Here is a 26,022-nt window from a genome sequence, read left to right on the forward strand (position 1 = left end):
CAATGCTCTTGCAAATGATTTAAAGTAAAATAAATTCCGTGAGTAAAATTATATGAATCTAATTAACATGGGAAGTAAATCCTTTAATTAGAAAAGTCAAATAATTATTTTTCTTCAAAGAAATGAAATTACTGCAATTACTTTTTGAACAGATAATACAGAATTATTTAATAGATAATTTTAAGGTGCCCACAAGGCAGGAATTTAAGTAGTGAGTAAAATATTTACAGGGGATTCAGGGATTAACTTTCTCCTTTAGGAGATTCCTTAGAACTTCAGCCTTCATTTACAAATCCTAAAATAGAATGATTGTCTAATGTCAGCGTTTCACTGAACAACTACATAGGCAAATTTATTTTTATCTAAGAAGTGAAATAATTACTCGCATAGGTTCTTAAGTTACTGATTAAAATGATGTTATTTATAATTCATGTTAATTAAACACATACACACAAAGCCCACTTATTTTGCCAGTTACATTTCTCAATATTCAGGACATTTCAATTGAACTACAAGTTTTAGAGGGAATTTGAGACTAGACCTGAAGAGGGCTACCTAGTTTCCTAAATTCCAGTAAGATACTTAAACCACTAAATTAAGATAATCTAAAAATAGCACAAGGAAACAGTACAAATGTTAAGCAAGACTCTTACTATGAAGCTAGTTAGAATTGTTAATTAGAGCTGTATATTATTCATTAATGTAAATCACATATAAATAATTTAATACATACGTAGTGCTACTACTGATTATAAAAGTAATCAAAGCATACACTTGGAATAAATGTATTATCCTTGATACATATGTTCAAACTCAATAAAGATTTTCAGAAATTTATATCTTCCTTTTACAAAGTTATGAGTAATTATTTCAAATGACAGGTAACTTTCTTTTTAGGTAAGATACACTGTTCTAGAAAATAAGATGTAGAAAGAGCCTGAATGCAGCAGTCAATACCCAAATTTAAATTTTCAATAGTGAATTCCAAAACATTTAGGCAATAGAATGTTAGGTTTAAAAAAGTGGACTCTGTTATTAGACAGAGAGACATTTGAATTTGTTCTTTGCCCCTTACTATGTGACCTTCAGTAAAGTACTTGACCTATCTAAGCCTCAATTTCCTATTGTGAAATGCATAGTAATTGTAACAATTTGGTAGATTGTTGAAATAATTGAAATAATTATATGTAACTTGCTCAGCATAGTGCTTACCGAGTATCTTAACATATGTGGTCTGTTATTATCATAGTAATTTTTCATACAGAGTTAGACACGAAAAATGAAAGACAGCATGTGAATGGTGTCAGTCTTAAAATATTTGAGGCTTTCATATTTAATTAGGCCAGAAAAAATATTGGAGACACGTACGTTTCTCACCTACCCCAACTTCCTTGGGAGAAATGAAGTTGTGCTAAACCTCTTTATAAAGGAAAAGCAACTTATTACGTTGGAATGGGTGCTGATGGGGACTTGTCATTAAAAACCCTAGATAGTATGCTATGTACAGGAGATCACTTAAGTTTCAATGTGTGATTATCTTTCCAGGAAGTTTAGGAATGCAAAGCGATGTATAATGTTTGATTTGTGAAAGTAACAATCTTATAGTAGTTATTAATAATGCAATAGAGTTTAAAATCCTGTAGCAAAAAATTTTGTTTCTGCAAGAAGATAAAGCAGTTGGGCTAATAAGAAATGGGCTCCCACTTCTAATAGGAAGTCCTTGATTTCAGCAAGAAGGCAACAACCTAAGCCTTCTACTTCTAGGGGATATTTGTTGGTAAGAAGGAGGTGACGATTTCTAAAAACCACTAAAAATGGCCGAATCCTTATCAATAGATGGACACATAATTGACATAATCTACTTTTGTTGTTTAAATTCTGTGGCCTGAGCACTTAGATAACTTTTGAATAACCAACTGATTTTGGGAGCCCAGAAACTTTTGAGTATAATTCTAGAAAAATGAACATCATCTCCATCCGTTGTTATACCCTTTAGTAAGAAAGATCCTTATTCAGACTGAGCGTATACTGCATTGAGACGAAGCCCAGGAGGTTAGTGTAAGTGTGCTTGGTGCTACCATTTCCTTCTTTGTCCACTAATCAGAAATAAAATGACATAATTTTTGATAGCCTTATATTAAGGTATAAGGAGGATTGAGGTTAAGGCGTTCTTCACATTTATTTTGTCATTTAGCTAACTCAGACGCCATCTGGAAGGAGCTGTTGGAACCTTGTGCATGAATGAAAAAAATAATTGGGGAATTAGGGAGCTCAAGCATTCTTTGGTAAGTCACAAAGTGGTATATTTGGGAAGGCATGACAAAGCTTACTTTTGGCATCTATCTTCAGGGTGGGAAATTTTCGTTCTTTTAGACTATATTCAGTCAGTTTAGTCAATTTACTCATATTGAATGCACACTATGCCAGAACTGTGTTAGGTCTTTGAGGTTTCAAGAATCTCAAGTGGTTCTCAAATAGATGAAATTCAGCAATGGTTGCTGGATATCTTTTAATCAAAGGCAGAAGTAGAACTCCAGAGGAGTTACGGTTGTTTTCACAAAGTGGTCGGACAAAGTGTTTCCATTCATGAAATTTCTGACACGGGGTAGCTGCTAGACTTGTGAGAGATGAGCCTGTCACTAACAATAGAAAATATTAGAATTAACATTTTACTGCAAAAACTATGTATTTCACAGCCACAGAATGGATTAAGCGTTAGTTCTAACAATGTCTCCATAACACCCATAGAAGAGAATCTCAACCCTAACAGACCCATGGTACTTTTCCCAAAATAAAATTCCTGGTTGGAGAACACATGCAGACTGCTATACAGCTGCCAAAAATACCATGAGCAACTATTTCTTTTGATCATGTGAGTTTTCTAAAGTGAAAAATATATCTTATGATGATTATATCATTTTAATTTTCATGAAATAAAATTTATCTTTTTTATTTTGTTGTTATTTATTATTTGTCTTGTTTCTTTGATAGTAAAGATACTCTCGTTAGCTTTCTTCTAGGACCTTCATAGTCTAGCATTTACGTTTAAGTCAATGATGTGTCTTTGATTGTGCTTTTGTATATGTATATGGTGTGCATAGGTATATAAAGTGTACAAGGTCAAGTTTAGTTTTATTCCATGTGGATATTCATTTACTCCAGCATTATGGTTGCAATAAATTTTCCCCCAGTTAATTTGATGCATTTATAAAAATCAACTTATCTTATAAGGGTGCATCCATTTCTGAACTCTTTAATCTGTTCCAGTTATCAACAGGTCTACTCTTTTTTTTTTTTCTTTTTCTTTTGAGACAGAGTCTTGCTCTGTCGCCCAGTCTGGAGTGCAGTGGCACTATCTTGGCTCATTGCAACCTCTGCCTCCCAAGTTCAAGCGATTCTCATGACTCAGCCTCTCGAGTAGCTGGGACTGCAGAGGCGCACCATCATGCCTGGCTAATTTTTGTATTTTTAGTAGAGAGAGGGTTTCACCATGTTGGCCAGGCTAGTCTCGAACTCCTGGCCTCAAGTGATCCACCTGCCTCATCCTCCCAAAGTGCTGGGATTACAGGCAAATGTGTCTACTCTTAAGTCAATATCTCATGTCCTGGTTACTGTTTCTTTAAAGCAAATGCATATGTCTAATAATTAAAATGCTGCAAATGTGTTGATTTATTTTCATAATTTTTGGTCTTATTCTAGAATGTTTACCTTTCATATAAATTTTACAATTGACTTGTCAAAGTATGCTGGTATTTTCATGGGAATTGTTTTAAATATATCAATAAATCTAAGAAGAACTATTGATTCTTCAGACTTGTTACTTCTCTGCGAACATGATACATCTCTCCATTTATTTTGATTATCTAAAATTGGCTCAGAGAAGTTTTGTAATTTTCAGTGTAAAGGTCTCACACATAATTAATTAAATTTATTTCTAGGAATGTTGTTTGATGCTATAATACATGAATTTTTAAAAACCAGTAGTTTATTAATAGCTTATAATAATACTATCGATTTTTATATTTTGATATTTTATTCTGTGATGTTTAAATATTACTCATTATGTAGGTAGTTTCTTGGTAATTTCTTTTTTATATGTAGATTATCATGTTCTCTGAGAGAGATATAATTTTGCCACTTTCCTGTATTTATGGCTTATATACATTTTTCTGCCTCATTGCATTGGATTGAACCTCTAGAGCAATATGGAAAATGAGTTGTCAGAGAAAATATTCTCAGTGTTAATGAGAATGAGTTCAATATTTCACCATTAAATGTAGTCTTAGCAGTAGGTTTTTTTTTGGATACCATTTTCTTCTATTCTATCTGTTGCTCATAAGTTTTATTCTGAATTATTAAATTTAGTCATTTTTTCTTTCTCGAGTGGAACACAAGACTTTTCTTTCTCTTTCTATGTAGTACATTCAGCAGTTCATTGAATAAACTCCTATGATAGTACCCTTAATATTTTACCTAAGTTATTCAATTATTTATCTGTACTGTGCAGTAATCAGAGTTCTGCAAATAAACAGAAACAATAGAGTGTTTGTGTCTGTAGAAAGAGATTTGTTTTAAAGAATTGGCTCACCCGATTGTGGAGGCTAGCAAATGCAAACTCTGCAGGGTGGGCTGGCAGGTGGGAGACCCAGAGGAGAGTTCATGCTGCAGTTCAAAGGCAAAGACTACCTGCTGTAGAATTCCTCTCACTCATGTGAGATCTATCTATTGTTCTATTCAGTCACCTTCAACTGATTGGATGAGACTCATCCACATAATGAAGGACCCAATGCTTTACTCAAAGTTCACTGAGTAAATGTTAATCTCATCTAAAAACACAGAAACATCCATGATAATCTTTGACCACACATCTGGGCACTGTTGACACCTAAAATTAACCATCACATGTTATTGCTATTTCCTTCAATGGCTGTGCATTCACCATGTTTTACACTTTAATTATATACTATTTTTATTTGATAGTTCACCTTGAAATCAGCCTGATTTCCCCATAGAACTGATGTTTATGGTTTTCCTTGAATGAACATAGAAATTTACCTTCCTTGTCTTAGAGCTTGAAAAAATTACATTTGTCTTATCTTAGTTCCTTTCTCAGCAAATCGACCATCAGGTTTCCTGACAGTATCAAGGAACTGAAACTTACCAGATCAGTGCATCTGGCCAATGAGACGTAAGATCTCCATCCATCACGATTGCCTAACAGACCACCTGCTACCCATTGACCAACTCCTCTTTCGTACACTTCCTTAATTTCTGTTTTTCTACATGTAGTTACATTTCTTCCCTGCTCTATAAACCCTTAATTTTAGTCACTTGAAGAAATGGATTTGAGATTAATCTTCCATTCTCCTTGACTGTAGCACTCACATAAAGCCTTCTTTCCTGGAAATACTCATTGTCTCAGTGATTGGCTTTCTGTGTGGTGAGCAAAATCCCTAGTGTTTCAGTAACAACTTAATAAAGCAGGATTTAAAAAAAAAATAAATGCACTGTATGAATCTTGTAGCATGAATAGCAAGGAATTAAGAAAAACTAAACTCCCCACGCATATCCTTTTTCAGGAAGGGAAAATCAATATCTTACAGTACAGTTTTCATTCTAAGAAATACTACACATTTTATGTTATAAGCAAAATTTTATGGAATAGTTTATGAAATAAAATTGAACCTCACAGTTTTAAATTTCTTTGTACAATAATGTTTCCTTTAGACACTTCCCCATCCTCCTTTTAATTATATAGTAAAACTATATAATTTTTGTCATAACTTAAAGTCGATTTATTTTCAGTGCCTTTTAAAAGTTATCAACGATCTTTGGATACTATAGTTGCCCTGAGTTCAACTTCATGTTTTATAAAATAGGCACAATCTTCCTTTATGGGAGGAGGAGTTTCTTTCTATGTCTTTGGTTATCAGAATTAGAAAAACTGCCTTGATCAGCATATATTAAATTTTTTAAAGTTAAGTTTTTCATCACTTGTGAGACTAATTTTATTGTATTCTTCACGTGATGATGATTATGATGTGACTTCAATTTACCCTTCCTAATGTGATTGTAAATTTTCATGTAATGAAAGAAGAGGCACAACCAAGATTACTGCACAGCATTGGTAACATGTAGAAAATATATTTCATATTTTGAGAAGAGACAAACTCTTAGCTCTCAAGGTCACAGAATGCTGACAGTTAATTGGTCTTTTGAGAAATAAAATCTTGAAAGAAGACTAAAAATTGCATTCAAGTATTACTCAAGATTGTGTATAATAGCAATATGAAAACACAATGTGGTAAATTATAATTAATTATAATTGTTTGTTTCTACAAATCGTTGCTACATACAAGAAAGTGTGATGTAGACTAGTAATTTATGCTTGGAATTGCTGTTTTTTTAACTACCTGTCCAATAAAGGTTTACTTCAGGAGGGTATATTACACCTAGAAGAAAATTTATTTAATTAGATAAATCACTATTAGACATAATCAAGCAAATATTGAGTTTGTAAATGGCCATATATAAGGAAAGAACACCATTATATTTGAATAACATTGTTAAAATAAAATAAAATAAAACTTTTGAAACATTTAAGCAGACTTTATTAAAAGTATTTTTAAGATATTGAGAATTTGAACATGGCCTATGAAAAATAAAAAGCAGAAGTGCAAGCAAGAAAAACAGTTGTACAAGTGGCTTTCAAAAAAAAATTGCTTGCCTAAAGAGTTTGGTTTGTAGAGCATCAAGAAAATCACGCATTTAAGATTCACCAAGGTTGAAATGAAGGAAAAAAAAATTTTAAGGGCAGCCAGAGAGAAAGGTCAGGTTACCCACAAAGGGAAGCCCATCAGACTAACAATGGATCTCTCAGCAGAAACTCTATAAGCCAGAGAGAGTGAGGGCCAATATTCAACATTCTGAAAGAAAAGAATTTTCAATCCAGAATTTCATATCCACCCAAACTGAGCTTCATAAGAGAAGGAGAAATAAAATCCTTTACAGACAAGCAAATGCTGAGAGACTTTGTCAAATCTCTCACATAATTTTTTAACATATTTAGCATAATTAATTTAACAATATTAAACTTACATGTAAATGGGCTAATTGCCTCAATTAAAAGACACAGACGGGCAATTTGGACAAAGAGTCAAGACCCATCGGGGTGCTGTATTCAGGAGACCCATTTCACGTGCAAAAACACGCATAGGCTCAAAATAAAGGGATGGAGGAATATTTACCAAGCAAATGGAAAGCAAAAAAAAAAAAAAAAAAAAAAAAAAAAAAAGCCGGGGGTGGGGAGGGTTGCAATCCTAGTCTCTGATAAAACAGATTTTAAACTAACAAAGATCAAAAAAGACAAAGAAGGGCATTACCTCATGGTAAAGGGATCAATGCATCAAGTAGAGCTAACTATCCTAACTATATATACACCCAATATAGGAGCACCCAGATTCATAAAGCAAGTTCTCAGAGACCTACAAGAGACCTAGACTCCCACACAATAATAGTGGGAGACTTTAACACCCCACTGTCGCTATTAGAGAGATCGAGACAGAAAATTAACAAGGATATTCAGGACTTGAACTCAGCTCAGGACCTAGCAGACCTAATAGACATCTACAGAACTCTCCACCCCAAATCAACAAAATATACATTCCTCTCAGCACCACATCACACTTATTCTAAAATCAACCACATAATTGGAAGTAAAACACTCCTCAGCAAATGCAAAAGAATGGAAGTCATGACAAATTGTCTCTCATACTACAGTGCAATCAAATTAGAACTCAGGATTAAGAAACTCATTCAAAACCACACAACTACATGAAAACTGAACAACCTGCTCCTGAATGACTACTGCATAAATAACGAAAATAAGGCAGAAATAAAGAAGTTCTTTGGCCAGGCGTGGTGGCTCACGGCTGTAATCCCAGCACTTGGGGAAGCCGAGGTGGGTGGATCACGAGGTCAGGAGATGGAGACCATCCTGGCAAACACAGTGAAACCCTGTCACTACTAAAAATACAAAAAATTAGCTGGGCATGTGGTGGGCGCCTGTAGTCCCAGCTACTTGGGAGGCTGAGACAGGAGAATGGCATGAACCCGGGAGGCAGAGCTTGCAGTGAGCTGAGATCGTGCCACTGAACTCCAGCCTGGGTGACAGAGTGAGACTCCGTCTCAAAAAAAAAAAAAAAAAAAAAAAAAGTTCTTTGAAACCCATGAGAACAAAGACACAATGTACCAGAATCTCTGGGACACAGCTATACCAGTGTTTAGAGAGAAATTTATAGCACTAAATGCCCAGAGGAGAAAGTGGGAAAGATCTAAAATCGACACCCTAACATCACAATTAAAAGAACTAGAGAAGCAAGAGCAAACGTATTTAAAAGCTAGCAGAAGACAAAAAATAACTAAGATCAGAGCAGAATTGAAGGAGATAGAGACACGAGAAACCCTTCAAAAAAATCAATGAATCCAGGAGCTGGTTTTTTGAAAAGTTTAACAAAATAGATAGACTGCTAGTCAGATTAATAAAGAAGAGAGAGAAGAATCAAATAAACACAATAAAATATGATAAAGGGGATATCACCACCAACCCCATAGAAATACAAACTACCATCAGAGAATAGTATAAACATCTCTATGCAAATAAACTAGAAAATCTGGAAAAAATGGATAAATTCCTGGACACATACACCCCTGCAAGACTAAACCAGGAAGAAGTCAAATCCCTGAATAGACCAATAACAATTTCTGAAATTGAGGCAGTAATTAATAGCCTACCAACCAAAAAAAGCCCAGGACCAGATGGATTCACAGCCAATTTCTACCAGAGGTACAAAGAGGAGCTGGTACCATTCCTTCTGAAACTCTTACAAACAATAGAAAAAGAGGCACTCCTCCCTAACTCATTTCTTGAGGCCAGCATCATCCTTTTACCAAAACCTGGCAGAGACACAAGAAAAGAAGAAAATTTTAGGCCAATATCCCTGATGAACATCGATGTGAAAATCCTCAATAAAATACAGGCAAAACGAATACAGCAGCACATCAAAAAGCTTATCCACCATGATCAATTCGGCTTCATCCCTGGGATGCAAGGCTGGTTCAACATACACAAATCAATAAATGTAATCCATCACATAAACAGAACCAATGACAAAAACCACATGATTATCTCAATAGATGCAGAAAAGGCCTTGAATAAAATTCAACACCCCTTCATGCAAAAAACTCTCAATAAACTAGATACTGATGGAACGTATCTCAAAATAATAAGAGCTATTTATGACAAACCCACAGCCAATATCATACAGAGTGGGAAAAAGCTGGAAGTATTCCCTTTGAAAACCGGCACAAGACAGGGATGCCCTCTCTCACCACTCCTATTCAACACAGTGTTAGAAGTTCTTGCCAGGGAAATCAGGCAAGAGAAAGGAATAAAGGGTATTCAAATAGGAAGAGAGGAAGTCAAATTGTCTCTGTTTGCAGATGAAATCATTGTGTATTTAGAAAACCCCATTGTCTCGGCCTAAAATCTCCTTAAGCTGATAAGCAACTTCAGCAAAGTCTCAGGATACAAAATCTATGTGCAAAAATCACAGGCATTCCTATAAACAAATAACAGACAAACAGAGAGCCAAATCATGAGTGAACTCCCATTCACAATTGTTACAAAGAAAATAAAGTACCTAGGAATACAACTTAAAAGGGATGTGAAGAACGTCTTCAAGGAGAACTACAAACCACTGCTTAAGGAAATAAGAGAGGACACAAACAAATGGAAAAGCCTTCTATGCTCATGGATAGGAAGAATCAATATGGTGAAAATGGCCATACTGCCCAAAGTAATTTATACATGCAATGCTATTCCCATCAAGACACCCTTCACTTTCTTCACAGAATTAGAAAAAACTATTTTAAATTTCATATGGAACCAAAAAAGAGCACATATAGCCAAGACAATCCTAAGCGAAAAGAACAAAGCTGGAGGCATCACACTAACTGACTTCAAACTATACTACAAGGCTACAGTAACCAAAATAGCATGGTACTGGTACCAAAACAGATATATAGACCAATGGAACAGGAAATAAGCCTCAGAAATAACGTCACATATCTACAACCATCTGATCTTTGAAAAATCTGACAAAAACAAGCAACGAGGAAAGGATTCCCTATTTAATAAATGGTGTTGGGAAAACTGGCTAGCCATATGCAGAAAAGTGAAACTGGATCCCTTCCTTACACCTTATACAAAAATTAACTCAAGATGGATTAAAGACTTAAATGTAAGACCTAAAGCCAAAAAACCCCTAGAAGAAAACCTAGGCATTACCATTCAGGACATAGGCATGGGCAAACACTTCATGACTAAAACACCAAAAGCAATGGAAACAAAAGCCAAAATGGACAAATGGGATCTAATTAAACTAAACAGCTTCTGCACAGCAAAAAAAAAACTACCGTCAGACTAAACAGGCAACCTACAGAATGGGAGAAAATTTTTGCAATCTATCCATCTAACAAAGGGCTAATATCTAGAATCTACAAGGAACTTTAACAAATATACAAGAAAAAAACAACCCCATCAAAAAGTGGGCAAAGGATATGAACAGACACTTCTCAAAAGAAGACATTTATGTGGCTCACAAACATATGAAAAAAAGCTCAACAACACTGGTCACTAGAGAAATGCAAATCAAAACCACAATGAGATATCATCTCACACCAGTTAGAATGGTGATCATTAAAGTCAGGAAACAACAGATGCTGGAGAGGATGTGGAGAAACAGGAATGCTTGTACACAGTTGGTGAGAGTGTAAATTAGTTCAACCATTGTGGAAGACAGTCTGGAGATTCCTCTAGGATCTAGAACCAGAAATACCATTTGACCCAGCAATCACATTACTGGGTATATACCCAAAGGATTATAAATCATTCTACTATAAAGACACATGCACATGTATGTTTATTGCAGCACTGTTCACAATAGCAAAGACTTGGAACCAACCCAAATGCCCATCAATGATAGACTGGATAAAGAAAATGTGGCACATATACACCATGGAATACTATGCAGCCATAAAAAAGGATGCGTTCATGTCCTTTGCAGGGACATGGATGAAGCTGGAAACCATCATTCTCAGCAAACTAACACAGGAACAGAAAACCAAACACTGCATGTTCTCACTCATAAGTGGGAGCTGAACAATAAGAACACTTGGACATGGAGGGGAACATCACACGCCAGGGCCTGTCGATGGGTAGGAGGCTGGGGGAGGGATAGCATTAGGAGAAATACCTAATGTAGATGATGGGTTGATGGTGCAGCAAACCACCATGGCATGTGTATACCTATGTAACAAACCTGCACGTTCTGCACATGTATCCCAGAATGAAAAGTATAATAATAATAATAATAATAATAAACTAAGTTCCTACTTGCCTATCATGGAGCTATAATTTGAGGACAAGAATGCATTCTTTTGAGTAATAAGTCTTGATAAATCCAATACTGAGAAGAAAATAGCAGATAGAGTGGTTTACCTTTGATTATTTTGTTACAAAATACCTAACATACCAGAGTTTAAAAAATTGTCTGACTTGGAAAAATGTTTTAGGGAAGAGATGAAAAGGGAAGAAATAAAGTAGAATTCCTAAATCTAAAATATACAGATTCAATCAGTGGGGGAAAATTGTGTGTCTGTGTAAAGAGGAAGGTGGGGCCCAATCAGGAGCTAGAACCAGGGACCTAAGACTTTTGTTGTGGGAATGATAATATGATAAAGATATTTTATAATATTGTCCTATGGATGCTACCAATAAACGAATCTAAGAAGTTAGTGGAGTGAAAATAAACGGGAGATTATGGTTGCATGACCTGAGAGAAACTGAAAGTATGTCAAAAAGTGTATTTGTGTAGTTTTAGTTTTAGTTTTTTAAAACAGAAGAGAAAAAGAAAGACAAGAGAGGAGAGACAGAGAGACAGTGGAGGTAAAGAGAAAGAGAACTTTTGAAAGTTCCACAAAAAGTTGAAAAGACCATATTTACATAAAAATTACAAAATTATAGGATATATAGTTGGTTATTTAAACTCTACAGATTTCTATATTCAAAAGGATTACAACTTTTGAGGTCTTATGTTTGTTTTTAGATCCTTAGAGATTTGGAAGGCTTACAATGACTATTGACCATCCCTATTTCAACCCACTCATTTTTGGACAAGAAACAGAGAGGCTCCTTTTGTGATATCAGTGAATGATTTAACCTCAGTGCTATAGCTTTTCCTCTGTTCTCCCACTACAGCATCACACTGGCAAAATAGACAACTGCTTTATTTCAATTATGGTGACACAGCCAATTCAGGTTGGTATAATATTGATATACAATTGCAGGTTACTGAAGAAGATACTTCTCTTGTTTATTCATTATCTATAATGTCTTTCACTGGCTCAGCCTCCTTAGACCTCTCTGGAGACTAATTTCTGGTGCATAAACAGAAGAGAGAAATCCAGGAAAGCATTCAGTTTTTCAAACAAAAAAAAAATCAACAAAAAGTTTTGCCTTTTTTTATTTGCTTCATCAATTATTTCTACAAACTTTTATTATATACATTTAGAAGTCTCATATTTGATTTACAAATTGAGAAATGAACCACAGCTTCAAAAACATAATACAAGAAAAGCTTCAAAGGAGAATAATTGTTTTCTTTACCCACACCCAATGTTTCATTTATTTCATTTAGCAATAAACGAGTAATTGTACTTTGGGTATACACTTTGTCCCCTGCCTTTTAATTTACCCTCTATCATACCTCCAGGTGGTACCATATGTAATTCTACTTTGACGGTGCAAGCTGCACCCTGTTAGGTTTCAAAAATATGTTCTGGTAATAACTTTCAGTTTAGAAAAGCAAAACAAAATGTGGAGTACGCAGGCGTAGTCATAAGTTACGACTTCCTCTGAATGAAAGAAATCATTCTGGTGCTAATAAAATTTGCATGTATATAAAGTAGAAAATCACATGCTTTAACATAAATACCGGAGGAAAAAGCAATTGCAGCTGGCTGTTGAAAGCCTTGGCTCTTATGTCCACCCGGCTAATATATGCAGCCCTAACTACAGCTGCACTGCCAGCAGTTTTCCTTTATTTTTCAATTACAGTTTGGAGGCAGGAAGAGGGCATGTATATTATAGAATTCTTTTGGATGTAAATAAATGTTTGTAATAAAAGAAGGAGATCACTTCCTTCTTAAGTGCTTGAATGCCTAAATTTAGGCTTTGGGCTTTACAAAGTTATGGTTTATAGTTCCTTATCTAAATTTAATTATGCAATCTGATGTGTTCCATTTTAGAATTTTCCTGAGGTTCTGTTTATTGCCCTTGGCCTTCAGGCAACATTTTTTTGTCACAAAAGAATTACCTAAATTATTAATATGCTCTGTTTTTTAGGATATAAAAATATTAAATTTTACATTTAGCTTTTGAAAATGATTGGGACAATTCTAGAAGCTTTGTAGTAAATCATCAGATAATTCCCCTCTGGTTTATATTGCCTTGCTCCTCATATAAGCTATTATTATAATATTCATTACAATTGTTCAAACTTTGATTTAAATCAGGAAGAAAGTATACAATACAAGAGCCACATATCATGATAGATTTTAGTGGGGAGTTAATATAATTAAGGAGCAAAGTTATTTTGGGGATCCTCCTGTAAACTGATTTGTAATTTTGTGGGGAAGACAAACAAATATGCAGTAAGTAATTCACCCTATTTCTGTTGGCCATAAAAATAACTGTCTCGTTATTGTAGCCTATCTCTGCAAATAGTCTTGTGTCTTTATTAAATAGTTTTGTACCTATATTAAAGTTAAAAATAGCTCTATCTTTTTCCATGTTTCCAATAAGTAAATGATTCTGAATTTTCTCAATTACCTTGAAAGCAGAAATAGTAATAGAATCATTGTTAACCTTTGGTAAATTTCATAAATTGTCCTAAATATATTTTGCATTGTTATTTACTTGGGTCTAAAACAAAGGAAAGATAGCCTAGTTTTTTTGGTAAATTTTCTGGTGAACAAATCTACTAGAGTCATGAATACTATAGAGTCAGGAATACTGGAGCAAGTCAGGATTACTTTGAGAATAGCCTTTGCTCTCTTTTAATGAAGGTGTTACTAAGGCCTTGACATCAAGAAATCTCTGTCATCTCTCTCCAACTTTTCTTTGGGCCTTCACATCTTCCTTAGTTAACTTTTTTCTTGCATACTATTCCATTCCATGTACTTGACCCTCCTATATTCCTTATCAATACAGAAAACAAAAAAAAAAGTATGCTTTTTAGGAGCCTCCCTGTCCTTGCAAACTGTCAAGAATATTGCACAAAGTGTCTATGAACTACAAATTTCTATACAATTATACTGTATACCTAGGTCTAGATGACACGAAGAACTCTTACCCCAACCGAAAATAAATGAATTCTAAGCAAATGCTGAGTTATTTCTCCCTCTGATACTCTGGGTGATGGTTAAGTGTGTATAAAAGAAGCAGTATATCTGAAAGTTTTAAAATTTATTTTTCAAAATTATGTTGTCAAGGTCTGCCCAGAGATTTCATGTATATCTCAGTTGAGTTGCACAGACTCTTTATTCTCCTTTGTTGTTTTCTTTCCTCTGTTGTTGCAATTATCAATAGATAAACTTCATTTTACTTTGCCATTAGAACGAGAGGAAAGGAAATATGAAAAAATGGGAGATAGAGAAGGCATATGATCTTATTCTGAATATTCCACATTTCAGAAAACAAGAGAGCCTCAAAATATAGTATAAAAAACTTTAAATTTATACAATGAAGGTTTTCCATGGAGATATTTTCCTCTTTGTGGAAAAAAGTATCCATAGAATGATTCTCTGGGGAACCGATTTTTGTATCTTTAAAAAGATTAGTCTAGAAATAGAAAAATCACAAGATACGTAAAAATTAGGATAATTTTTTTCAATACTTCTTACATCTCTATTACCCATGATAGTTGATATATGAAAGATGTCACTGAAACACCATTTTATACTGTGAAACAAAACTCCAAAGTGAACTGTCAGAGATAGGACTCATTTTTTCTTGCCAAAGGCAGAAATTTGGGGTTTCAACAGAACTGTATTAAGGTTGCAAGATGTCTCTAAAAGGAAATTAAGCTGGTTTTGATAATAACAACAACAACAAAAACAAAAAGAATGTCCTATTTGCAGATTTGTAATTTCATATCTATGATTTTTTCTATCAATAGTATGTATATATGTTGCTATAGTGTTAGATGCATTATTGTTCCCCTACTTAGCCATCACTCTCTTGGTTATCTTAGCTGTTGTGTTTAGTATATAGAACTTTTTACAGCCAAATACAAGTTAATGGTCTAAATCTGTAACTATTTATTGTTGTAATTCCTGGAGGGATTGCTGTCTTCTTAATCTTTCAGTTTTGAAAAAAAAAAACAGCATAATATGGTGTTTTTCCTGGTTCCTAAAGCCTAAGTAATGTTTGCTCAAGCTGACAAACCTGCAGTGCAGAAATAAGGATACCTCAAAGAATAAGTATGTGGGATAGACACGGTGTCTTACACAATCCTATAAATAATCCATATTTTTGAAAACTTAATGATAATTTTTATAGAAACCTTTGCAACCAGCCACTCAAATGGCAAAATCACTTGGAGTGTGAAAATTCTGCATGCCCATACCATAGGCAAAATCAATGCAAAAAGTTGTCTGCTCCTGTAGATCTTTGCTTCCTTTCTCTGCCAGTTAGAAACTAAGAAATGGTTTTATAGCTTGGCCACAGATGAGGGCAAAAAAAAGGCAGGAGAATTCACCACAGCCAATAACATGAAGGGAATCAGCGAATCAGCACTCACTGTGGTTGGCCTGATGAGGTGAGGGTGAAGAGCAAGAGAGTGTGGACATGCCTTTTTGTGTAACAGTTGGCTGAAGCAAACTGATTAAATGGAAAGTAAAAGGAAAATCATAGGGAGAGACAGAATAATCCATTTTTTTCTCAAGATGAAATGGCTTCAGTCAGAAGTTGCTTTAGAAGAAGATCTCATTACGTAAATAACAAAATCAAGATGGAAAGTTTAGGTTATATAAACATTAAGAAATAATTGTTGCATCAGAAAAACATACACCTTTAAGAAGGATTACCTGTGATTTTATTTTCATATCACTAAAAAGAAATTTTTTTTTGTTCTATGAGAAAAGAGGCTGGAGGTAGAAGTAATAAATAAGTCTCATAGTGTGCATGTCATACCTTAACCAAACTAGCCTGAAATTAAATAAACGTATGTTCTAAAAATGAACTTCTCCCTTTTAGCCTATGGGGTTCAATTCAGGTAGCCAATTATTTGAGTGATATTTCTAAAAATACAGGATACATAGTAAGGGTGCAAATTTAAAGCTAAAAGAATTATATATATATATATATATATATATACACACACACACACATACACACACATATATAATCATTTAATTGGCTAGGTTTGTATTAACTTCATGATATTCAAAGAACTAGCTTAAAATAATTTTACAAATCACTACAATAAATAAACTGCTTGATGAGTCTAAATTATTGGTACAGGTTCAAAGAAAGCAAAAAATGAGGCTATGACAGAGAGCAGAATTAGAAAGGAAATATTTGCCCGGTGATGCAATTAAAATAATACATTAAAATTTTAAGTACAGCAAATCAGTGGGAAAAGAAAAAGAAACTGAGTAGCTACTAAAATCAATGAATGGACATATTTGAAGTTAGGGCTATAAGAAAAACTGCAGTATAATTATTTAATGTATCAATGACCTTGTTGAAAATGTGAACAGTAGGTAGTTATTCCAATAAGAAGGCACAATAATAGCACGTAAGATTGATAAGATTCATTTAATAAGGCATGTGATTATAGTGATAACTACTACAAGATGGATGTTATTGTTTGTATCCAGATGAATTCCATTAGAATCACTTTAAAGGACTAGGATAAGAAATCTGTTCAAGCTGTTGTCCTAGCTCAATGTTTGAAATCCCAAGGGAGAGAGGTAATAAATAAGTTAAATGCAATAACAAAGCACCCTTATCTAAAGCTGAGTTCCTGGAGTAGCATAAAAATCAGAAGCTCTTTATGCTGGGATGGATTTTTCAAAGTACAAGTTTCTCCTTGCCTTTTAATAAGTATCTGGATAAAAGACAAGGGAGGTCATTGGCCAAAGGGAAAAATAGTATGATTTATTTTAAAATTTAGTTAGTAGAATGTTATTTTATAAAATCTGCATTTGGTTATTAGAACCCTGAAATTTTTCCTTACATTTATTAATGAAATCTGCAGGTTATATCCATAACCATGACCAAGGCCAGTCAGTTGTATCGATTATAATCAGGAAAAGCATGCTAAATAGATCAAAAAAGAACCTCATAATATATGAATGAACAGGCAACAGGTCCAACTTTGACCTTTCTTAGAACAATCCTATAATATTTTACTTTACTACCTTTCTTTTTATTTTACCCATTATAAGTTGATGTGTGTTATTTTAATCATTCACAGGGTTACCTGTTTTCACATAAATATTTGGAATAAAATATTTAAGAAGGATTCTTATAGCAGCTCTAGGGAATTGGACCTGAGAAGTATTTTTTTCTAAAAGAGAAGGTAAAATTGGTTGTGCAACTGATAATACCACCCATTCACATCCTAAGAATATCAACTTCTAATTTTTCTTTTTTATGTTTTTGCCTGCATATTGTAATTCATTATTAAGTAAGGAGATTTTTTAAAAATACATTCTTATAATCTCCTTGTTAATGCAGTTTTTCTCATTAATGAACAGGAAAATTCACTTTATTGATATAATTTACTATTCACTTTTTCTTAACTGTTTCAACTAGTTTGCCATCAAGGGTTTGTCCTGTCTTGGTCAGTCTCATTCATATGTGATTGACTACAGATGGTATTAAATAGACAGATGGTATTAAACAAAGACTAGAAGCTAGTGATCATTAAGTTATTCAATGCTCCTACTTTCAAAGGGGCAGTTTTTCACTACACTGTCATCCTTTTTATAATATAAAGTTGCATATATATCCATATATGTTATATATATATACCCATATATCTCTGTATGTGGGTATTCCTATATCCATATCTCATATCTCCATCTATATGTATATGTGTATTTCTATACACCCAATAGCCAGAGAGATACATATAGGTAGATAAGTAGGCAGAGATATTAAAAAAGATATACATTTTGCTATTTTTTTTTTTTGAGATGGAGTTTCACTCTTATTGCCCAGGCTGGAGTGCTATGGCTCAATCTTTGCTCACTGCAACCTTCGCCTCTTGGGTTCAAGTGATTCTCCTGCCTCAGTCTCCCAAGTAGCTGGGATTACAGACATGCATCACCATGCCCAGCTAATTTTGTATTTTTAGTAGAGATGGGGTTTCACTATGTTGGTCAGGCTGGTCTCAAACTCCTGACCTCAGGTGATCCATACACCTCGGCCTCCCAAAGTGCTGAGATTACAGGTGTGAGCCACCGCACCTGGCCTAAATTTTGCCATGTTTATATATGAATAAAGTGCATGAAGTGCAAGGTGGCTGTTATGATCAACAAAGAGAATTCTTCAAAGAAGCTAGTAAGAGCTAAATAGCCAAAAGCTGAGAAGATCAGAACAAACAAAAGATGTTACTGGGTTCTAGTACTCTTAAGATCTATGTTTCTCCCTTCCAATTATTTACTTCATAGAAAAGGCGGTCAGATTATCCTAGTCTGACTGAGGCTACACAAACCTGTCTTAATTTTCTGTGTAGTGGGGCAATGTTCATGGAGCTCAGACACAGGTACAAGAGCTCAATCTCAGATTATTAGAATCATGACGAATTTATCAGCCTCCCCACAGACATTTACTTCATGTGAGTTAGATGAGATTATACAGCTACGTGGTCTAGGAAGATGTGAGACCATAATATAGAGTGCCCCCACTTCAGTATTCTCCCTCATAACGACACTTTTAACATTATTTCTAGGACAGCTGGGACCTAAGCCCATTGTTTTGTTTTTTTCCAATAGAGGCTGTAAATTAATATGCAGTAATGTATCAATCCAATAGAGATTCGATTTTTTATTTGACTTCAGTCATGTATAAATGCCAATCCCAAACTACTCCTTTTCAGAGTTGATTCCTATTCTATTAGCTTTTAAAACTGATATAAAGATTGAGCTAAAAAAAGTCTATCATTAGAATGTCAGATGTAATGAAACATAAAGAAATAAAAAACAAGTCAGGCAACAGTGGCTCGCAATTTGGGAGGCCAAGGTGGGAGGATTGCTTGAGGCCACACACGTTAGAGACCAGCCTGGGCAACATGGCAAAACCTCATCTCTACTAAAAATACGAAAATTAGCCAGGTGTGGTGTCGCGGGCCTGTAGTCCCAGCTACTCAGTAGTCCGAGGTGGGAGGATCACTTGAACCCAGGTGGTTGAGGCTGCAGTGAGCCATGATAGTGCCACTGCACTCCAGCCTGGATGACAGAGCAAGACTCTGTCTCAAAAAATTTTCTTCTTTGATTGAAAGTTTTTCCTCCCAGTCATTTCAAAAAGAGGGAGAAATAAAAGGAGATTTCAATAAAAATGCTGATTATTTCCTGTTAATTTTGAGTAAATGATATAGGTTGTTTGGCTGAAAACTGCCCTTTAAGCTCGCTTCATTAGTCACGACTAGCATGTGCTATAATTTAAGACAAAGCCCACATAGTACAAACAAGGGAGCAATTACTTTGGCTTAAAGCTTGTAGTGCTTTGAACTTTATTTTTTCTTTAACAAGATCACTTTTGGACTTTGTACAGATTTTATTTTCTCACATAAAATTATGTCCTTATCTACATTTATTAAATGTAAGATTTAATTTTATTGACAGAAATATAGAAATGCTACATTAATTGCCACAGGCTGGGTGATGCAGAATATGGTAAGTTAAGTATTAATGAGAATTGTATTTTACTGTGTTCCAAGAGCCAAAGAAGTGTTTGACATAATATTTACGAGTCTGAATTATAGGGACATTCTAACAGCATTAAGAAATCATATATGAAAAAAATTATATGCCATAAAACTATTTTATCTGAATCATATTTCTTAGTATTCTTCTCTATTAAACAGCTGACTTAGGGCTTTAGAATATCCTGAGAAATGATGTCCTTCTAAGTGGGATTTATAAATACTTCTTGACAAGAAAAGATACATTTACTCCAATTTTTAGCATGTGTTATTTTATGACCTCAAATTGCAACCCTAGATTTTTTCCCTTATTGAAATATTTTTAGATTTCTGGTAGAAAAATGTATTTCAAATCATTGTGCAAGAGAAATATTTCTTTAAAGGGAAAATGAACTATAATATTAAAAAGAGACAAGCTTTTGGGGGGTTTTTGCAATCTGTTTAACAGGAGAAATAAAAAATACATGAAAACATTTTTGTGCTTGAAACAAACTATTTTATGCTAAAGTGAAACTGTCAAAATCAGCAAATATTTATTGGGCATCTCTGTGTTTAAGAAACTCTTCATATATCCATACATGTCATATATATCCATGTAGATAGATGGATTTCCATATACCCATGTCATCACAGCCCCGTGCTGTGGGTTTACAGGACCTAAAGAAAAACATTGCTGCATTAAAAATAACTTACAAGAAAAGGCTTTCATACCAATTATAGTAGACCACTTATAAGGATTTCTAGGCACAGTAAAGTAGCATAGTACTTGACTAATGGTTAGATAATAATAATGCCATTAATTTGCAGAAGTCAGTCTCAGGGCTGGTCAGTGCAGTGAGTGGGTACTTCTGCAATTCTCTCTCTCTTTTTTTTTTTATTCCAATAAGGCTGTGCTAACTCCAAATGCCACATTCTCCCATTACAATGCATAACACTGGAAGAAAAAAGAGTAGAAAAGGGAAACTCTATTACCCTATATTTTTCTTTAAACAGTGAAAAGTGTTTCTGAAAAGCGCTTATCTGACTTGCAGAGTAATGAGGGCAAAAGTTAATATGATACGCCTTGACCAGTGGCTCTTAAAGTGTCATCTATGGCAAGTTGTTAGAAATCCAAATTTTCAGGTTCCAAACCAATCTTACCGAGTTAGAAACTGGCAGTGGAGCCTGCAGATGATTAACAAGCTCCTCAGAACATTTTGAAGTACTCTAATGTTTGAGAATTACTGCGTTACACCAATTGTGACTCACTTCCAGCGGCTGGATATGAATTGGAGTAAGGTCTCTAATCATACATTTCAGAATTCTCACCGAACTCTAGGCTGTTCTGCATTTTTTCGTGTGACTTGAAATAACAATTAGAAGTCATCAAAGGCCATCACATTTATAGATAGAAAGTTCATACAAATGATAGAGTCCATTATTATAAGATATCATTTCTCCTTTAGGGCTTTTAGTTGCAAGTAACAAACATGGAAATTTAACTGAAACTGGCTTGAACAGAAAAGGAGTAGAGAAGGGACTCATGTAATTCAGGTCATGTAGGGTCTTATTAAGAAACTCAAGTGACAGACACAGTCATAGCTGGGCTTAGATCTTTTCTCTTCCAGGCTGGCTTTACTCATGGCACTGGTTTCTAGGAGCTCCAGGATGGCATTCATCAAAGTGCAAATCTAGAGAAAATATAAAGTTTACTTTCACTTACTGAAGAGTCTGATTGAAGATTATATACTATATGTTGTTCATAATTCCTTCCTGAATAATCACCCTTACTGTAGCAATGTTTTAGGCTGTTTATCTCAGATCCAATTATATGCCCATTTTCAGACATGGGAATAGATTTAGACTCCAATCCTGTGTTTAAAAATGTGGTTATCACCCACAATTAGGAAAGGTTCCTTAATCCCAAGAGTGAAGGGACTTGAGGTGGCAAAAGTAAATAATGGCCATTTAAATCTATAAAGTCATCTGTGAGGAATGGAATACATAAAAGTCAATAACTAATCCTACCTTGGGTCCGTAAATGCCCCTGTGTATATACAAGATGTTGAAATCTCTTAATCATGATTATGGAAAGGCAAATGATGTTTTTTTCCAGAGTAAAGTCAATATACATTGACTACATGATGCAGTAACTAGAAACGTTAAAGCAGCCTTTGGAAATTATTTTTAAGTCATGTTTCCTTTTTAGTACTTAAATCTCAAATGAATCATTTTCATGTCTCCATCTACACCGTCCCTACCCAGTTTGATTATCTCCCATCTTGGTTATGCTGTTCGTCCCTTGCTTTAATTTTAATCCTTCTCTATTCTAGCCTCTAGGATATCAGATTGTTTAAGACAACTTTTCATTTTGGAATTAATTTATACTTACAGAAATAAATAGGGTAATACAGAAAGTTCTGTTGTACCCCTCTTCCAGTTTCACCCTTTATTACCACCTCACAGTACCCTGGTATATTCATCGAAACTAAGATTTCAACATCATTTTATGTGAACTCCAGACATTAATTGGATTTCACCAGTCTTTCCACAAACATCCTCTGTTTCAGAACCTGATACAGAGTACCACATGGCATTTACTTGTCATGTCTCTCCAGTCTCCTCTAATCTGTGAGAGTTTCTCAGTCTTCGCTTGTTTCCTTGTCATCAGACTTGGAATTGTCTGATGTTTTCCTCATGGTTAGATTGAGGTTATAGATTCTTGGAAAGAACATGTCAGAGGTGAAGCAATCTTCTCACATTTTATGAGGGAACACACAATGTCAACATAAAATTATTGGTGAGATTAACCTTTACAATTTGATTAAGATAGTTTTGACCATGTTTCTCTATTTCTCTACTATAAAATTCCTATTTCCCCTTTCAACACCCTCCAGACTCTCACAGATATACATGTGGAATATTCCTTATTCCAAATACTTGAGAACAGAACTCTTTCATATGTCAGATTTCTTTTGGATTTTGGATATTTGCATTATACTTACTGGTTGAGCATCCCACATCTGAAAATCTGAAATTGGAAATGCTCCAGTGAGCATTCATTTGATGGTTATATTCCCACTCAAAAAGTTTCAGATGTTTGATTTTTGGATTTGGAATGCTCAATCTGTATATATCAGGTTTAAAAAAATGCTAAGATTTCTTTCTGCATAATACTTTCATATGTCCATGGCCCTTAAAGTTGGAAGTTCCTATATGATTGGAATCTACACATACATGCATACAAATACATACATTCATAAACAAATGCATATACACTAATTTTAATGTCAAATGTGGCATATTCAGAATTCACCAAAACTTAGGAAATGATAGTATTAATAATCAAGCCAAACTTTTCTCTGTGAAAGACTGTCAGGCCATTGGTGATTAAAATTTGTTTACTACCTAACTGGGCATCATAGTCAATAGGATAGTTCTGAGTCACAAATGCATCATGGCAATTTTCTTTCATAGTCAATTCCAGCCTTTAGGGACTAAAGAAAAATATGTTATTTACAAGAAAACAAACAAACAACCCCATCAGAAAGTGGGCAAAAGATATGAACAGACACTTCTCAAAAGAAGACATTTATGTGGCCCACAAACATGAAAAAAAGCTCATCATCACTGGTCACTAGAGAAATGCAAATCAAAACCACAATGAGATACCATCTTATACCAGTTAGAATGGCGATCATTAAAAAGTCAGGAAACAACAGATGCTGGAGAGGATGTGGAGAAATAGGAATGCTTTTAAAATATTGGTGGGATGGTAAATTAGTTCAGCCATTGTGGAAGACAGTGTGGCAATTCCTCAAGGATCTAGAACTAGAAATACCATTTGACCCAGCAATCACATTACTGGGTATATACCCAAAGGATGATAAATCATTCTACTACAAAGAAACAGGCACGTGTATGTTTATTGCAGCACTGTTCACAATAGCAAAGACTTGGAACCAACCCAAATGCCCATCAATGATAGACTGGATAAAGAAAATGTGGCACATGTACACCATGGAATACTATGCAGCCATGAAAAAGGATGAGTTCATGTCCTTTGCAGGGACATGGAGGAAGCTAGAAACCATCATTCTCAGCAAACCAACACAGGAACAGAAAACCAAACACCACGTATTCTCACTCATAAGTGGGAGCTGAATATTTCTTTCAAATATCTGATCTAATAATATGATGGCCAGTCATCACAGTTTGCACAGTATTATGCTGGTTTTAGTATCTGAATTCTCTCACCCTGGGAAAACTTTTAGTCTTGTTCATGTATGGATTTTTAAACAACTAGCTCACGTTCTCTTAGGTGGTGCTGTAGGTTGACAAAGACTCTCTTACAATATAGTCTCCAGGAGATTTTAGTAGACTTTCTATAATCTACCCAGGCCATGGTTTAGTGAGATTATGTCATGTTAACTGTATATGCACCAATATTTGAAGGCATGTACAAACATATTTTTTATTTAAACCAGCATCAAATTCTACCAAAACCGGCAAGTTTAGTTTGTAAGTAAAGATGAAATGACTGGACATTCTAAATGGATGGACTTTGAGTTCTTTTGTCAGGGTGCTCAAGATGATGCAGACTTACCTATATGCTCTCACCTTGCCTCCCTGGTGACCTGCATGATTTATTTGTCAGAGAAAATGACTACCTTAAATCTAAGCAATGGGTAGTTATCAAATCTAAAAAAAATCTATGTGACTCAAAGGGAATTTAAATTCATGACTCTGCTTCATTAATACTAATCTCAAAGCAAGTCAACAAGATAAAAGATATTAACTCTTGTCCCATCTTCATGTGGCTCTTGTTGTATTACTAAGGGTCATTGGAGGCTGCCTAGCTAGTCACTATTCTGAAAATGAGACTGACATTAATCAAAAAGATAGCATAATGAAAGAGCAAAAGGGAACAACTTGTTCTAATCAACATTGAGTCATTGATAACTCCACTAATCGAACTCAAACAAGTCTGAAATACTGTGGTCTTGGAATCAAACTTGAAACCAGAGGCAGAGTAATGCCTGATACAATGAAATCCAAGCTCAGATTACTAGGATTTGTATCCTGACTCTACCATTTGGCAACTGTGTCCTCTGGAAAGTTATTTAACTTTTCTGGAACTTCGTTTCCCAATTTATAAAGTACTATTCCTAAGAGTCCCTCCCTTATTTCATCACAGGTACACCGACTTCATCTATTTTCTTAACTCTTCTGAGCTTCTATTGACTTACTTGCAAATTACTGGCTTTGACTGCCTCAATTGAGTGTTGTCAGGATAAAATAGAATAACGTATGCAAAGACTCCAACCCACAGCATTATTATTATTCAGTAGGTTATAGAGGTGTTATACATAATTTGTTTTTCCCTAATAAATAAAAATGGGAACATGTGATTTATTATGTTACACATAATTTTCAGTTGTAAAACAATTTATGTTGCTATGTGATGTATCTTTTTGCTGATGCATGCTTGATGTCAGGGGCACGGGGCATTGCACGTTAAACTTTGTACACAAATTATTAATGTCAAAAATAAAACCTACAGAAGACGGATTAGAAAATAAATATTTTTATCTTGAGATAAACAAAAAATCCAAGTCCTAATCACCTACATATTTTCAGCCACATGTGCAGTTCTATTAGTAAAACTCTCTCTCTTACTAAGGAGTAAAATTAAATTTTACTCCTTTCTCCTATTTTAACCTAAAATGATCTCTCCTAATCTTTGCATAGCAATAATAGGTAGGTAATACATTAAAAACATCCTTTAATCAAAAGTCTATTTCAAAGTTTTACAACCACAAGTCAAATTTATTTTCTGAGGGAATTAATCTTAATTTATATAATCAAAAACAATAGATGCAGGAGGAAAACATGAAAGCAAATTCTGAGGAAATATTTGTTTCATAGATTCAGGAAAACATTTTTCTTCAGATATGACTGAATAGTAATAATTTTTGTCTTACAG

The 26,022-nt window shown here is 34.5% G+C and overlaps 1 protein-coding gene across 4 annotated transcripts in view; it reads right to left on the reverse strand.

The window, feature by feature from the left end:
• The window catches only part of TMPRSS15 (transmembrane serine protease 15), a 216,769-nt gene that overhangs the window by 186,868 nt on the left and 3,879 nt on the right, over nucleotides 1–26,022 (reverse strand). For 2 of the 4 annotated variants that reach the window (XM_047440913.1, XM_047440912.1), the window contains exon 1: nucleotides 4,589–4,693. The exons of the other annotated variants lie outside the window; for them this stretch is intronic. The gene's annotated coding sequence lies outside the window, so the exon portion shown is untranslated. Of the gene's footprint in view, nucleotides 1–4,588; nucleotides 4,694–26,022 lie in introns of those variants that run through there. 4 annotated transcript variants of the gene reach the window in all.

Source organism: Homo sapiens, chromosome 21 (genome assembly GCF_000001405.40).
Source record: "Homo sapiens chromosome 21, GRCh38.p14 Primary Assembly".
Lineage (NCBI taxonomy): Eukaryota > Metazoa > Chordata > Mammalia > Primates > Hominidae > Homo > Homo sapiens.